General features: G+C 39.9%; 2 protein-coding genes and 1 long non-coding RNA gene across 4 annotated transcripts in view; 1 reads left to right on the top strand and 2 right to left on the bottom strand.

Annotated features, from left to right (window-relative positions):
- OR1B1 (olfactory receptor family 1 subfamily B member 1) overlaps positions 1-2450 on the top strand; it is a 29503-nt gene extending 27053 nt beyond the window's left edge. For both annotated transcript variants that reach the window (NM_001004450.3, NM_001409693.1), the window contains exon 2: positions 606-2450. In NM_001004450.3, coding sequence (NP_001004450.2) covers positions 1043-1996 — 954 coding nt within the window. In that variant the 5' untranslated portion in view covers positions 606-1042 and the 3' untranslated portion in view covers positions 1997-2450. The remainder of the gene's footprint in view (positions 1-605) is intronic.
- The window catches only part of LOC124902265 (uncharacterized), a 29979-nt gene that overhangs the window by 9111 nt on the left and 4168 nt on the right, over positions 1-16700 (bottom strand). The window lies entirely within an intron of this gene.
- Positions 14893-15837, bottom strand: OR1Q1 (olfactory receptor family 1 subfamily Q member 1). Its single transcript, NM_012364.1, has one exon. The coding sequence runs from the start codon at positions 15835-15837 to the stop codon at positions 14893-14895; it is 945 nt and encodes a 314-aa protein (NP_036496.1).

Here is a 16700-nt window from a genome sequence, read left to right as displayed (position 1 = left end):
GTCACATATTGAAAGTTTTATTCCAGTATCAGTATGGAAGACCTATCAGGAGAGTCAAGTAGAGAAACCAGTAATGAGGTTGTAGAAATTAGTATTGGTTAGAGATGCTAAAACTTAAATAGTCATAGTGGACTAACAGCAAAGAATGGATATAAGGGAAAACATAGACGTTAAGGAATGATTGGATGTGGGAGATGATGGAGTAATTCCTTCAGTTTTTTGTTTGTGCATCAGGCTGATGATAATGATAATGCTATTAACTAACACAGGGAATAAAGAGAAAGAAAAAGTAATTTCATGACATTCTAAAGCAGTATCTCATCTAAGAGTTTTTTGGTGGGGTCTTTAGGTTTTTCTAAATATAAGATCACGTTATCAGCAAACATGGATAATTTGGCTTCCTCTTTTCCAATTTGGGTGGCTTTTCTTTCATTGGTCTAATTGCTCTGGCTAGAACTTCTATTACTATGTTGAATAGGAGTGGTAAAAGTGGACATCCTTGTCTTGTTCCAGACCTTAGAGGAAAATGTAAAAAAGTCAGCTATGTCGAAAGAATTGTTTCTTTGTATGGTATGTGTTTTAATGGTATGTTATTTTCCATACAGGTTCAGAGAGAAGACATCATGAGGATTGCAGTTGGGTGAGGTGTGAATGGAAGGTAAGGAACTGGAGACAGTGAATATAGATAATTCTTTCATGAAGTCGGCCACTGGAAAAAGATAAGAAATAGTTGGATGAAAAGACAAGAATGAATGAAGAGTTTTTCACTGTGGGAGGGACTTTAGTAGGGCTTGTGAATTAGATGGAACAAGTCACTAGGGTGGGTGAAAAGGAAGAAATAAAGGAGAAAATAAATACATATTAAGGAAGCGAAATCCTAGACCTTAGGGAGGGAGAGTAGATGGTCAAGTTCGAATCTAGGTCTTTAACGATCTTTAGTAACGTAATATAATTAACTAGAAATGCTATGATCCCTAACATCAGACCCATGACTTTCTTTTTGACTTAAACTGTCTTTCAGGCAGGCTGACTGTCACTCATGATGAGCTTTGCCCCTAATGCTTCACACTCTCCGGTTTTTTTGCTCCTTGGGTTCTCGAGAGCTAACATCTCCTACACTCTCCTCTTCTTCCTGTTCCTGGCTATTTACCTGACCACCATACTGGGGAATGTGACACTGGTGCTGCTCATCTCCTGGGACTCCAGACTGCACTCACCCATGTATTATCTGCTTCGTGGCCTCTCTGTGATAGACATGGGGCTATCCACAGTTACACTGCCCCAGTTGCTGGCCCATTTGGTCTCTCATTACCCAACCATTCCTGCTGCCCGCTGCTTGGCTCAGTTCTTTTTCTTCTATGCATTTGGGGTTACAGATACACTTGTCATTGCTGTCATGGCTCTGGATCGCTATGTGGCCATCTGTGACCCCCTGCACTATGCTTTGGTAATGAATCACCAACGGTGTGCCTGCTTACTAGCCTTGAGCTGGGTGGTGTCCATACTGCACACCATGTTGCGTGTGGGACTCGTCCTGCCTCTTTGCTGGACTGGGGATGCTGGGGGCAACGTTAACCTTCCTCACTTCTTTTGTGACCACCGGCCACTTCTGCGAGCCTCTTGTTCTGACATACATTCTAATGAGCTGGCCATATTCTTTGAGGGTGGCTTCCTTATGCTGGGCCCCTGTGCCCTCATTGTACTCTCTTATGTCCGAATTGGGGCCGCTATTCTACGTTTGCCTTCAGCTGCTGGTCGCCGCCGAGCAGTCTCCACCTGTGGATCCCACCTCACCATGGTTGGTTTCCTCTACGGCACCATCATTTGTGTCTACTTCCAGCCTCCCTTCCAGAACTCTCAGTATCAGGACATGGTGGCTTCAGTAATGTATACTGCCATTACACCTTTGGCCAACCCATTTGTGTATAGCCTCCACAATAAGGATGTCAAGGGTGCACTCTGCAGGCTGCTTGAATGGGTGAAGGTAGACCCCTGATTAGCCTGCTGTGGGCCATATTGAATAGGTGAGAAAAGTCATGGGCATATTCTGAGCAGAGTTGGTTTTGGGGAGATCAGAGGGGTGGAGGGCCTAGATAACTTAAGGAACTCCAGATTTGGCTCTTGTCAATGTTGTGCTTTGATGGAGCCATGAACATTCCACATTCATAGACACATAAGATCAGGGCTCCCTTATCAGCATACCTCTGGGCACCCTCCATCAGGCCTTTTATTTTATCAAAGTGGATGAAAAAGAATTACCAAGTCTGGGTAGTTTTAATTTTAGAGTTCTGAGGGAATATGAGGATAGGATTGTGAAACTATGAACTAAACGAAGAGCAGTAGAGTTAATCATCATCATCACATTTAGGTTGGTGTGTGTTCTTGTGGGAGTGTGTTTGTGTATATCAGAAAGTAAGGGAAGATGACAGTTTAGACAAATAGGGCTAAGTTCGCTACCTGTTCCATTCAATGAGCAAAAATATGTCCCAGAGTGAGTATGAAATGATAATCATGATTCTACTGTTCCATGAGTTAGGATTAAGTTCCATGGGTTTCTTATAGTGTGAGCATCTAACTCTGATGCATTTGAATTCTATTTTATATATTTTAAATTAATTTTTTTTCTTTTAATTATTATTATACTTTAAGTTTTAGGGTACATGTGCACAATGTGCAGGTTAGTTACATATGTATACATGTGCCATGCTGGTGTGCTGCACCCATTAACTCGTCATTTAGCATTAGGTATATCTCCTAATGCTATCCCTCCCGCCTCCCCCCACCCCACAACAGTCCCCAGAGTCTGATGTTCCCCTACCTGTGTCCATGTGTTCTCATTGTTCAATTCCCACCTATGAGTGAGAACATGTGGTGTTTGGTTTTTTGTTCTTGCGATAGTTTACTGAGAATGATGATTTCCAATTTCATCCATGTCCCTACAAAGGACATGAACTCATCATTTTTTATGGCTGCATAGTATTCCATGGTGTATATGTGCCACATTTTCTTAATCCAGTCTATCATTGTTGGACATTTGGGTTGGTTCCAAGTCTTTGCTATTGTGAATAGTGCCGCAATAAACATACGTGTGCATGTGTCTTTATAGCAGCATGATTTATAGTCATTTGGGTATATACCCAGTAATGGGATGGCTGGGTGAAATGGTATTTCTAGTTCTAGATCCCTGAGGAATCGCCACACTGACTTCCACAATGGTTGAACTAGTTTACAGTCCCACCAACAGTGTAAAAGTGTTCCTATTTCTCCACATCCTCTCTAGCACCTGTTGTTTCCTGACTTTTTAATGATTGCCATTCTAACTGGTGTGAGATGGTATCTCATTGTGGTTTTGATTTGCATTTCTCTGATGGCCAGTGATGATGAGCATTTTTTCATGTGTCTTTTGGCTGCATAAATGTCTTCTTTTGAGAAGTGTCTGTTCATATCCTTTGCCCACTTTTTGATGGGGTTGTTTGTTTGTTTTCTTGTAAATTTGTTTGAGTTCATTGTAGATTCTGGATATTAGCCCTTTGTCAGATGAGTAGGTTGCGAAAATTTTCTCCCATTTTGTAGGTTGCCTGTTCACTCTGATGGTGGTAGTTTCTTTTGCTGTGCAGAAGCTCTTTAGTTTAATTAGATGCCATTTGTCAATTTTGGCTTTTGTTGCCATTGCTTTTGGTGTTTTAGACATGAAGTCCTTGCCCATGCCTATGTCCTGAATGGTAATGCCTAGGTTTTCTTCCAAAATTGACCACATAGTTGGAAGTAAAGCTCTCCTCAGCAAATGTAAAAGAACAGAAATTATAACAAACTGTCTCTCAGTCCACAGTGCAATCAAACTAGAACTCAGGATTAAGAAACTCACTCAAAACCGCTCAACTACATGGAAACTGAACAACCTGCTCCTGAATAACTACTGGGTACATAACGAAATGAAAGCAGAAATAAAGATGTTCTTTGAAACCAATGAAAACAAAGACACAACATACCAGAATCTCTGGGACACATTCAAAGCAGTGTGTAGAGGGAAATTTATAGCACTAAATGCCCACAAGAGAAAGCAGGAAAGATCCAAAATTGACACCCTAACATCACAATTAAAAGAACTAGAAAAGGAAGAGCAAACACATTCAAAAGCTAGCAGAAGGCAAGAAATAACTAAAATCAGAGCAGAACTGAAGGAAATAGAGACAAAAAAAAAACCCTTCAAAAAATTAATGAATCCAGGAGCTGGTTTTGTGAAAGAATCAACAAAATTAAATTAATTTTTAATGTGCATTAAAAATAAAATATAGACAGAAAAATGCAAGCTAACTACTTTGTTGCATAAAAGAAGGAACAATGAACTATCTTAACACTGATTAAAACATTGGTACTTTGCTTAGCTTTTTGGCAGCTGGAAAATTGCTCTCCACTTCGGTGCTTCTTAAAATATTAAAATGGTAATTTTGAGGGTACTCGATTTTCACTTTTATGCATTGACTTTTGCCCTTCACCCCACTTGAGATGCAGCTTCACTCAAATAGATTGTAATGTAATTGTAAGCAGGGTTTCCTGTGCTGAGGATTTCCAGGACATCATCTATGGCTTCTAGAGTTGTAAGAACTCTAGAAGGCACCTTGACAATCACACAACACTCTTCTTGGGACACCTTCAGCATTATTGGTCCAGCCAAAATCTGGTCTTCTCTGCTACTTCTCCTTACTGAGTTTGCTGACTTCTGTCTTTATTCCTCTATAAGCCCCTCCACCCACATCCCAAGGTACTACTTCAATCCCTGGGATCTCCCCATTTCAGGTATAATTTCTATATTCCCCTGACTACTTCCACACTGTCCTCTCACCAGCATCTTCTGTTCACTCAATACATTCTACCTTTCTCAAACCATTGGCAACATCCAGTGGTCTTATCTCAATGCTTAATGTACATTGTCTGCCTGTGAGTTTTGACATAGTTTGTTGGGAACCATCACCTCACCCATATGCATGGCTCCCATGACATTGTACCATTGCTGTCCTCTAATGTCTCTCCATCTTTTCTGTACCTTGTGTGACATCTCTTCCTTCTACTTCAAGTCTTCGGCACCTTGCCTATGCTTGTCTCATCCTGTCACAGAACTCATCCACTCTTAATATATCACTTCTCTTTTCAAATTAATATCACCTTACAGTGAAAATCTAGGAAATTAAATCCTCACAGTAGATTCATTTCCACAGCTCTTCATTTATTGCCATTATCACCACTGATATCTAAGGTTCCAATAAGTCAAGCCTAATTCTTCCTCTGTCTATATCGGTGCTTTTCAACTTTCACTGTGCGTTAGAATCACCTGGGAGTTTTAAAAAATTCAGTTTCCTGGGCCTCCACTCTAGAGATTTGGATCCACTTGCTATGAGGTAAAGCTTAGGTGTCAGTATTTTTAAATATTCCCCAAATGATTCTAATACGTAGCTACAGTCAAGACCATTGGCTTAATGTGATGTGTTTTGAAGCTTATCAATTAATCCTCCTAAAATCTCTTGCATCTGAGTAGTAGTAATAGCTTTTATATAGCATTTACTATGTGTCAGACACTGTTTGAGGATCTCTCCACATATTAACTCACTATGTCTCTCAGCAACCTGATGAAGTAATTGCTGTTATTACCCCCATGAGGCACAGAAAGAATAATTTACTTGCTTGGAGTTAACCCTTGATCAGATCATCTGTCTCCAACTAACCTGTGGCTTGTATTCCATATTTCCCCTCCAAATTGAACTATATTCAATTCTCATAACTTTTACCTCATCTAGATCTTTATCACTTCCTATGCAAATTACAAATGGGCCTCCTTGCTGTCAATCTCTTCCATTGTTCATGGTGTTAATCTTACAGAGTGTACTGCATGAATCAGCACATATGCAGCCCATGTGCATTGGATTTGAAGTCATCAGGCTTCATCCACTTTTGTTCAACTCAATCCCATCACTTCCTCATTGTGTCATTTTGATTGAGGTCTTGCATCTGTGAGCCTGGGTTTTCCCAGAGATGATAATACCTGCATTACTTTCTTCACAAGTTAATTATGCTTCTAACATTGTGCATGCAATTTTGCTTTGTAAACTGTTAAGTAACAGAGAAAAGTTGTTATGATTATGGTCCATTTTTCAAGTCCATCAGCATCATTTTTGAAACTGGATTATACTGTTGAAGAGAGAAAAGGCTATGTTATATATTTATTAATTATTTCCCAAAGCAGCTGGTCACAAAGCATGTGCAAATATTCATAAGCACCCATTGACAACTATGTTCTTTTTTGCTGGAAAAGCTCACAGTTTGTACAGCACTGGTGAAAAAGATACCTTTTTAATTTCTTAACAAATTATACATTTTCCTGGAATCCTGCCCCTGCCCCCTCTATTCTCTTCTCTTCTCTGTCTTTCCTTTTCTTCCTCTCCCTCTTCTGTTTCTTCTGCTTCTGCTTCTTTTGACAATTTCCTAGCACAGTGCTTTTCAAACTTTACATGGAACTTTTATTTCTAATAATAATTTTTCATGTAATTCCAATGTTGCTGCTCAGTGGACCACACATTGAGTAAGTAGCAGGGTCTTAGTGTGCTTTATTTGATTAAAAAATTATCCTACCACTAGAATATAAAAATTTTATTCATATGCATATTTTCATAATAACAATTTACATACAGTTTTGCAAAAATGTTTAAAATAATGTCAAAATAATTTTCCATGGTGTTACAGTGTCACTGTTATAAGAATTTTCATGGCTGCTAAATACCTGGTGGTAGGAACCATTTAATTCTTCACCCTCAAGTGTCCATAAAGAGAACCAATCTTACCTCACAGTGCAGAAGTAAACAAACTGGCAGGAAAATTTCTAGTCTAACCCTCACCTACCACTTATACACAGGAAGAGGAGGAATTTTTCTAATTAGTAATCTTTACATTTATTCTGGCTAGCCCTGAGCTTCAATCTTCTGTGTGAGTGGCACAGAACAATCCCACAGCATATCAGAAACATGTGATAGCTCTAAAAGTATACTGATGCCCAGGTCATACTACAGACCAATTAATACAGAATCAGTAGAGGTGGGCCCAGACAGGGATATTTTTGATTCTCTCCAGGTGCAAAGCCAGGATTGGGAACCATGGCTGTATGAACTAATGTGACTGTAAGTAGTCACGCTTCTGCTCTCTCTGTCCAGGTACAGGAAAGGTTAAGGGGAAACTATCCTCAATTGGGAGGAGGAAGAGAAGAGTCACTCTGTTATGAACTGAATGTTTGGGTCCCCCAAAGATCCATATGTTGAAACTTTAACCTCCTAGGTGATAGTGTTAGGAGGTGGGAGCCTTGGGAGATAATCAGGTTGTGAGGGTGGAGGCTTCATGAATGGAATTAGTGCCCTTACAAGAAGAGGTCAGAGAGGGCTTCTTTATCCTGTCTCTCTGGCGCTCCACTGTGTGAGGATACAATGAGAAGATGGCCATCTGAAAACAAGGAAGCCTGCCCTCACCAGACACTAGATCTGCCCGCACCTTGATCTTGGACCTTCCAGCTTCCAGAACTGCAAGGAATAAATATTGTTTAAGCCACCTAGTCTATGTTAATTTGTTATAGCAGCCCTAACTGACAGATTTACTGTTATAATAAAGCTTTGATCCTGATGTGACCCTTTTTGTCTGCTCCGTTGGTTAGAAGCTGAGCGGAACAGGGATGTGATCTCTTAACTTCCTACAATAAACACTGAGTGGGTACACCACTATTTGTTTTCTTCTGTAAATTAATGTTGTCTCCTTTGTGTTGCAATTAATATATACACTTCCTCCATAGTTTGGATTACTTCCAGATGTGGGGTTACTCAGACAGTATATGATCTTATTTTAGCTCATTTTTTCTCATAATTTGTATTGCATTTCACATTTTTTGTTATCTTTACCCCCACTAGATATCTAGAAGCTTATACATCTTACTTTTATTTAACTGCTGGTCATATTTACATTTTTCAAAAACATATCTTTGGATGCCTTCTGACACATACTGTGAGATTTACCATGATTTTTCTGCTATTGCTGCAAATGCATTTGGTTTTTATTTTATTTTTTTAAAATAAGATTAATATTTTAATGTAGCTTTAGGGCTGGGCATGGTGGTTCATTCCTGTAATTCCAGCACTTTTGGAGCCCAAAACAGGAGAATCACTTGAGGCCAGGAGTTCAAGATCAGCCTGGGCAACATAGTGAGACCTCATCTCTATAATAATAAAAAAAAAATTAGCCATGCATGGTGGTGGGCCTCTGTGGGCCCAGCTACTTGGGAAACTGAGGTATGAGGATGGCTTGACCTGGGAGATTGAGGCTGCAGTGAGCTATGATTGTGCCACTGTACTCCAGCCTGGGTGACTGAGTGAGACCCTGTCTCAAAAAATAATAATAAATAAAGTAGCTTTAGGTTCACAGCAAAATTGAGCAAAAAACACAGAGAGCTGCCATATACTTCTTTCTCTCATGTACATAGTCTATTCCACTATCAACATTCCACACCAGAGTAGTGGTATATTTCTTAACATTGATGACCCTACATTGACATACTGTCTCCCTGAATCCATACTTTACATTAGGATTCACTCTTGGTTTAGCACATTCTGTGAGTCTGGACAAATGCGTAGTGGCATTAAAGAATCATACAGAATCATACAGAACAGTTTGACTGCCTTAAAGATTCTCTGTGCTCCCCTATTCATCTCTTCCTTCCCCCTAACCTAGAAGCAGATTATGTAGTCGTTCTGTGTATGAGTTTTTGAGGAACCTCCATACTGTTTTCCATAATGGCTGTACCAATTTATAGTCCCACCAACAGTGAACAAGGTTTCCCTAGTTTTAGCTCTTGCACTTAGGTCTTTGGTCAATTTTGAGTTAATTTTTGTATATGGTATGAGGAAAGAATGAGTCTAACTTCATTCTTTCTTTTACATATAAATAACCAGTTATTCCAGCACTATTTGTTGAAGAGAGTGTTCTTTCCTCCTTGAATGTTCTTTGACCCTTGTAAAAAAAATCGATTGATTTTAGATAGATGGACTTATTTCTAGACTCTCAATTCTATTTCAGTGACCTATATTTCTATACTTTTGCCAGTACGACATGGCTTTTATTGTTGGGAACAGGCCCCCAAATCTGGACATAAACTGGCCTCGAAACTGGCCATAAACAAAATCTCTGCAGCACTGTGACATGTTCATGATGGCCACGACACCCACGCTGGAAGGTTGTGGGTTTACCAGAATGAGGGCAAGGAACACCTGGCCCACCCAGGGTGGAAAACCGCTTAAAGGCTTTCTTAAACCACAAAAATAGCATAAGCGATCTGTGCCTTAAGGACATGTTCCTGCTGCAGATAACTAGCCAGACCCATCCTTTTGTTTTGGCCCATCCCTTTGTTTCCAGTTACAAATACTTTTAGTTAATCTATAATCTATAGAAACAATGTTTATCACTGGCTTGCTGTTAATAAATATGTAGGTAAATCTCTGTTTGAGGCTCTCAGCTCTGAAGGCTGTGAGTCCCCTGATTTCCCACTCCACACAAGATATTTCTGTGTGTGTGTCTTTAATTCCTCTAGTGCCACTGGGTTAGGGTCTCCACGACCGAGCTGGTCTCGGCAAGCAGTGCCCAACATGGAGGCTCAAACTGAGGTCGAAGTGTCGCTGGAGCAACAGTTGGAGAATGTGGAACTAAGCTGGAGGACACCCGAGTACTCTTAAAGCAATCCCTGTCATGAGTAAGAAGGGGAGCTTGGAAGCATCAGGGTAACAGTGGGACAAGTGTGGGCTCTGGTTCGTTCCACCTTGGAACCTTTTCACACTAATGATAAGGAAAAAGGAGAGTATAATGAAGTAACAGAAGAGGTGACAGAGCAGGTTTGTTTGCCAGCTAAAGCTAAAGCGGCAAAGGAGGAAGAGGTTCATCCCTACCCTTCTGCATACCCTCCTTATTTTGAAGAAAAAAAGAGTGGCCTGACCCTCTAGATCTTTCTTTTCTGGAGGACACTGGGAGAAAAGTAGTTGCCCCAGTGACTGTTCGAGCAGCGTCTTGAGTGACCGCTCTCAGTTCTATTCAGGCAGGAGTTCAGCAAGCTAGAAGAGAGGGTGATTTAGAGGCTTGGCAGTTCCCTGTTAGAATACACCCCCCAAGATCAACTGGGAAATATTATAGCTACATTTGAGCCTTTTCCTTTTAAATTCAGGAAAGCACATTTAGTTGATCATATCAAGGCCTGTGATGGTATCGGAGGTAATGTGCATAAGGCTACTCTGCTAGCCCAAGCAATGGCGGGACTGAGAGTGGATAAAGGAAATACTCCGTTTCCTGGAGTTTGTTTTAACTGTGGGAAGCATGGTCATAGTAAAAAAGAATGTAGAAAAAATCAGCGAGTCAGGCTGCCAGATAGGCGAAAAAGGAAAACTACTGAGCCTGAGGAAAACACTGGGCTAATCAGTGTCACTCTAAATTTGATAAAGATGGGAACCCGATTTCAGGAAATGCCATGAGGGGCCCATCCCAGGCCCCGTTCCAAACCAGGGCATTTCTGGCTCAGGCCATTCCCTCACCCCTGTATAATGTCTGTGCCCTGCCACAGCCAGTAGTGCCACAGTAGATTCATGTTGCACAAAAGCTGTGAGCCTTATGCCTGGGGAACTCCCGCAAAAAGTTCCAACAGGGGTCTGTGGACCCTTGCCAGCTAGGATGATAGGATTACTTCTAGGAAGGTCAAGTTTAAATTTAAAAGGGGTACAAGTACAAACGGGAGTCATTGATTCAGATTACAATGCGGAAATTCAAATTGTTTTATCTACTTCTCTTCCCTGGAAAGCAGAGCCAGGAGAGCATATAGGACAGCTCCTGATTGTGCCATATGTGGAAATGGGGAAAAGTGAAATTAAACAGGAGGATTTGGAAGCACAAATAAAGCAAAGCAGCTTATTGGGTGAATCAAATTACTGATAAACGTCCTACCTGTGTTTCACGATATTGATTCTTCCTACGTGCGCGCATGGAATGTTCTTCCATTTGTTTGTATCCTCTTTTATTTCATAACTTTGTAATAATTCTGGAAATAGGAAAGTGTAGGTTCTACAAATTTGTTCATTTTTTTTCCAGATAGTTTTGGCTACTCATTGTTTCTGGCAATTTCATCTGAATTTCAGGATTGGCTTTTCCATTTCTACAAAATAATAAAGATTTTATAGGAATTGCATTGAATCTGTAGATCAATTTATGGATTATTGCCTTTTTAAGAATATTAAGTCTTCCAGTCCATTATATGGATGTCTTTCTATTTATTTAGGTCTCTTAAATTTCTTTCAGCAATGTTTTGTAGTTTTCAGTATACAAGTATTGCATATCCATGGCTAAATTTTTTCCTGTTTCATTCTTTTTGATACTATTATAAATTAAATTTTATTTCTTTTGAAGGTTATTCATTGCTAGTATATGGAAATACAGTTGATTATTGATGTTCATGTTCTATGCTGAAACTTTGCTGGTTTATTAGCTCTATTCATTTATTAATTGCAAGAGTTTGTTTTATTTTGTGTGGGTGCATTTTTGAAGATTTCCATTTGGTTCCTTTTTATAATTTCTATCTCTTTATATATACTTTCTCTTTGGTGAGACATTCTTTTTTGGTTTCCTTTTGTTGTTGTTTTTGGAAATAATATAGAAGTTTATTTACATTTAATGTTCAAAAAGTTTGCAGTTGGTCAGTCCAGAGCCACAGAGGCACTCCATGGCATCAGGGATCCAGGTATCTTTAATCTTTTTTTCTGTGTTTATGTTTATTTTATTTTAAAAATTATTATTTTGATTGACACATAATAGTTGTTCATATATATGGAGTATAGTGTGACATGTTGATATATGTACACAATATATAATGATTAAATCAGGATAAATAACATATTCATCATGACAAACATTCATCATTTCTTGGTGTTGGAGATATTCAAAATCCTTTCTTCCAGCTTTTGAATATATACAATAAAGAGCAGTGGTTCTCCCAGCATGGTGTTCAAGCTCTGAGAACAGACAGACTGCCTCCTCAAGAGGGTCCCGGACCTCCGTGTAGCCTGACTGGGAGACAGCTCCCAGTATGGGCCGACAGACAACTCATACAGGCGGGTGCCCCTCTGGGACGAAGCTTCCAGAGGAAGGATCAGGCAGCAATATTTGCTGTTCTGCAATATTTGCTGTTCTGCAGCCTCCAGTGGTGAGACCCAGGAAAACAGGGTCTGGAGTGCACCTCCAGCAAACTCCAACAGACCTGAAGCTGAGGGGTGTGAGTGGTAGAAGGAAAACTAACAAACAGAAAATAATAGCATCAACATCAATGAAAAGGACATCCACACCAAAACCCCATCTGTAGGTCACCAACATCAAAGACCAAAGGTAGATAAAACCACAAAGTTGGGGAAAAAGCAGAGCAGAAAAGCTGAAAATTCCAAAAACCAGAGCACCTCTTCTCCTCCAAAGGATCACAGCTCCTCGCCAGCAAGAGAACAAAACTGGATGGAGAATGAGTTTGACAAGTTGACAGAAGTAAGCTTCAGAAGGTCGGTAATAACAAACTTCTCCGAGCCAAAGGCGCATGTTCTAACCCATCACAAGGATGCTAAAAACCTTGAAAAAAGGTTAGACGAACGGTTAACTAGAATAAACAGTGTACAGAAAACCTTAAATGACCTGATGGAGCTGAAAACCATGGCACGAGAACTTTGTGATGCATGCACAAGCTTCAATAGCTGATTCGATCAAGTGGAAGAAAGGACATAAGTGATTGAAGATCAAATTAATGAAATAAAATGAGAAGACAAGATTAGAGAAAAAAGAGTAAAAAGAAATGAACAAAGCCTCCAAGAAATGTGGGACTATGTGAAAAGACCAAATCTACGTTGGATTGGTGTACCTAAAAGTGATGGGGAGAATGGAACCAAGTTGGAAAACACTCTTCAGGATATTATCCAGGAGAACTTCCCCAACCTAGCAAGGCAGGCCAACCTTGAAATTCAGGAAATACAGAGGATACCACAAAGATACTCCTTGAGAAGAGCAATCCCAAGACACATAATTGTCAGATTCACCAAGGTTGAAATGAAGGAAAAAATGTTAAGGGCAGCCAGAGAAAAAGGCAAGTTACCCACAAAGGGAAGCCCATCAGACTAACAGTGGATCTCTCTGCAGAAACCCTACAAGCCAGAAGAGAGTGGGGGCCAATATTCAACATTCTTAAAAGAATTTTCAACATAGAATTCCCTATCTAGCCAAACTAAGCTTCATAAATGAAGGGGAAATAAAATCCTTTACAGACAAGCAAATGCTGAGAGATTTTATTACCACCAGCCCTGCCTTACAAGAGCTCCTCAAGGAAGCACTAAACATGGAAGGTAACAACCGGTACCAGCCACTGAAAAAACATGCCAAATTGTAAAGACCATCGATGCATGAAGAAACTGCATCAATTAATGTTCAACATAACCAGCTAACATGTAGTTGTTTACTTCTGGGTTCTCTATTCTGTTCCATTGCTCTATGTGTCTGTTTTGGTACCAGTACCATGCTGTTTTGGTTGCTGTAGCCTTGTAGTATAGTTTGAATTTGGATAGTGTGATGCTTCTGGCTTTGTCCCTGTTGCTTAGGATTGCTTTGGCTATTTGGGCTCTTTTTTGGTTCCATGTGGATTTTAGAATAGTTTTTTCTAATTATGTGACAAATGTCATTGGTAGTTTCATAGGAATAGCATTGAATCTATAAATTTCTTTGGGCAGTATGGTCTTTTAATAATATTGAAGAATCAACATTTTAACAGACTCTTGATGCTTGAACCTGTTCTTCATGCCCAGTATTGATTGGTCAGAAGACAAATCAATTTTCACCCACTATTAGACCAGTTCCACATATCAACTACAGAAGAGATCAGGAACATGCTGAGGCAAAATGAGTTTGACTTATCCCTGAGTAGTGCAGGTAAAGCAGGTTAAGAAAAATGCAAATTGGTAAGCATGACAGTGCTTCATTCTGGAGCATATATAACTTCTGACTCCAAATAGTAGACATTATCATTATGTTCCTCTTCTTATATTGGAGTAGTTACCCCATTTCACCTGACTTCTATAAACTTATAGAAAATAAAAGCACCAATATTGCTCTCCTAGTTTTCCTGGCAGCTAGGGGATGTGTTGGTGACCAAATTCTTGACCAGTCAGATGCACCACCTTATTTTGAATCTAGACATAGTAGTGAAAAGAATAAGAAGGGGACAGTTCTTTCTGGAAGTGGTAATAACCAGTTTATAGACCTCCAAGAACTATGCCCAGTGACTACTGCTGGTAGTATAGGAGGAGGTACAAGCTGCAGTGAATAGAGTTTGGTGGCTACAGTAGTGTCCTCATTAGACTAGTTCTGGGATATGATTTTCACTGCAGTTCTGATGATATGACCTTTATTATTCTTGTCCATTTTTCTTGAGTCTAGTTCCCTAGCCTTGGAAATGCATGAGCTCCACATATCTTTTCAAGAAACTCATTTCCTCCATGCATAAGCCAGAATCAGTTTCTATTGCCTACATCTAAGAACTCTGAGAGTTACAACCCTAGTGTTTAATTGCAGAGAACCCTGTTAATTATAGTTAAAGAAACGCTAGTGTTTTACACTAAGTACATGGTGGTTCCTTTTTGTTTTATGTACTTTGGATTTAATAGATTTCTCTGGGCAATATCCAGTGAGAAAACACATGATATATAGCTAATTTAGATATTTCTGGAAAGTTCTAAAGAAAGCAGATCTGTGAGGCACAACATTATTTCTCCAGAACCATAGGTAAACCTCTGAACTGTGTTTGGGGTTTTATCTAAAGAAAAAAGTCTGCATTCTGCTCATCCATTTCATGAAGCCTCCCTTGACATCCCCATTCCTCAGGCTGTAGATGAAGGGGTTCAGCATGGGAGTCACCACTGTGTACACGACTGTTATAATGCGACCCTTGGTCACTGAATAGCTGGAAAGGGGCCGGAAGTAGACCCAACTGAGGGTGCCATAGAATATGGCCACCACAGTGAGGTGGGAGCCGCAGGTAGAAAAGGTTTTCCACCTGCCCTTGGCTGAGGGGATCCGGAGGACCACCAGGATGATGCAGGCATAGGAGGCAGTAATGAAGGCCAGAGCTCCACTGATTACAACAGCACCTTCTGTGTGAATCATAAGGGTGTTGAGGTAGGTGCTGGTGCAGGAGATCTTCATCAGAGCGTAGAGGTCACAGAAGAAGTGGGGGATTCTGTTATCTGCACAGAAGATTAGTTGGCCTATGAGAAAGGTATGCAGCATGGCATGAAGGTGGGAGAGAGCATGGCACATGACCACCATCTTCACACACAGCATTCTAGTCAGGATCATAGTGTAGTGGAAAGGGTGGCAGATGGCAATGTACCTGTCATAGGCCATCACAGCCAGGATGAAGTTTTCCATGACGGCGAAGCAAATGAAGAAATAAGTTTGGGCTAAACAGCCTGTGTAGGAAATTACCTTTGTAGGGGAGAAAATAATCTGCAGCATCTTGGGGACCGTGGTGGAGGTGAAGCAGATGTCTGTCAAGGCCAAGTTACTGAGGAAGATGTACATGGGGATGTGGAGGCGTGGAGCAGAGAGAATCAGTGTGATGATGGCCAAGTTGCCAGAAATATTGATTGCGTACATGAGTGAGAAAACAAGGAAGAGTGGGATTTGCTCTTCTGGGTGGGTGGAAATGCCCAAGAGAACAAAATGGGACACACTGGTCCAGTTGCTGTTGTCCATCTGTTGCCATAAGAACAAAAAGAATTAGTTCTATAGACTTGGACATATAGTCACTGTTGTGCCCCAGTGTAAACTACACACTGTGCTGATAAAGGGATTAAGTGCTTATGACTTTTCCAAGATAATATGGATTTTTCATTAACATCATCATTATTAAAAGTACTGCTAAAAACCACAATTACTTTTGCACCAACCTAATAGCCCCATAGCTAACATTTACAGAACATTTACCTTAAACCAGGGACTTTTCTGTGTTATCACATTTAAATCAATAACTCTATGAGGCTATTATTACTACTACTACTATTATTATTATTATTATTTCACTTTTACAAATTTGAAAACAGGCACGGAAAGTTTAAGTTCATAAAGAGCAAAATATCAATTTAAGTCACATTTATCTGGTGCCAAAGATTATACTATTAGCCACTATATGACATGACTCCCCAGATTAAAACCAAGCCATCTTATTCATGGTAATAAGACCTATTGATGAGCTATATAACCAAGGAATCTGCCTGCTGAAAGGGAGGTCAGAGGTCATTTGGTTCAGTAATTTTCACTTTGGGGGACACATACTCTTGCTGATCTCCAGAGACTTCTCAGTACATAGAATAATGGTTTTAGGAAAATAATTGTCTAGATCCTCAATTTCCACAGTTCTCTTTTCTAAACTCTTCTTATCTTTAAGATGTCACCTAGTGCATAATCTTGTTTCCCATGTAACAAATGAAAACTAAATGGTAATATAATTGATGTTGATTTTGACTTACTTTAGTAATAAGTAATACTCATTTCTAGATATATGAACTAAAAAAGTCCTACTAGATGCCTTTAATTAAAATCTTTTTAGGAATAACAAT

This window comes from Homo sapiens, chromosome 9, assembly GCF_000001405.40.
Source record: "Homo sapiens chromosome 9, GRCh38.p14 Primary Assembly".
NCBI classification, from domain to species: Eukaryota; Metazoa; Chordata; class Mammalia; order Primates; family Hominidae; genus Homo; species Homo sapiens.
The sequence above is the reverse complement of the archived record's forward strand: the minus strand, read 5'-3'. Positions and strand labels throughout refer to the sequence as shown.

Excerpts from the sequence above, each read along its gene's own strand:
- OR1Q1 (NM_012364.1), bottom strand. The coding sequence starts at position 15,837 with ATGGACAACAGCAACTGGACCAGTGTGTCCCATTTTGTTCTCTTGGGC.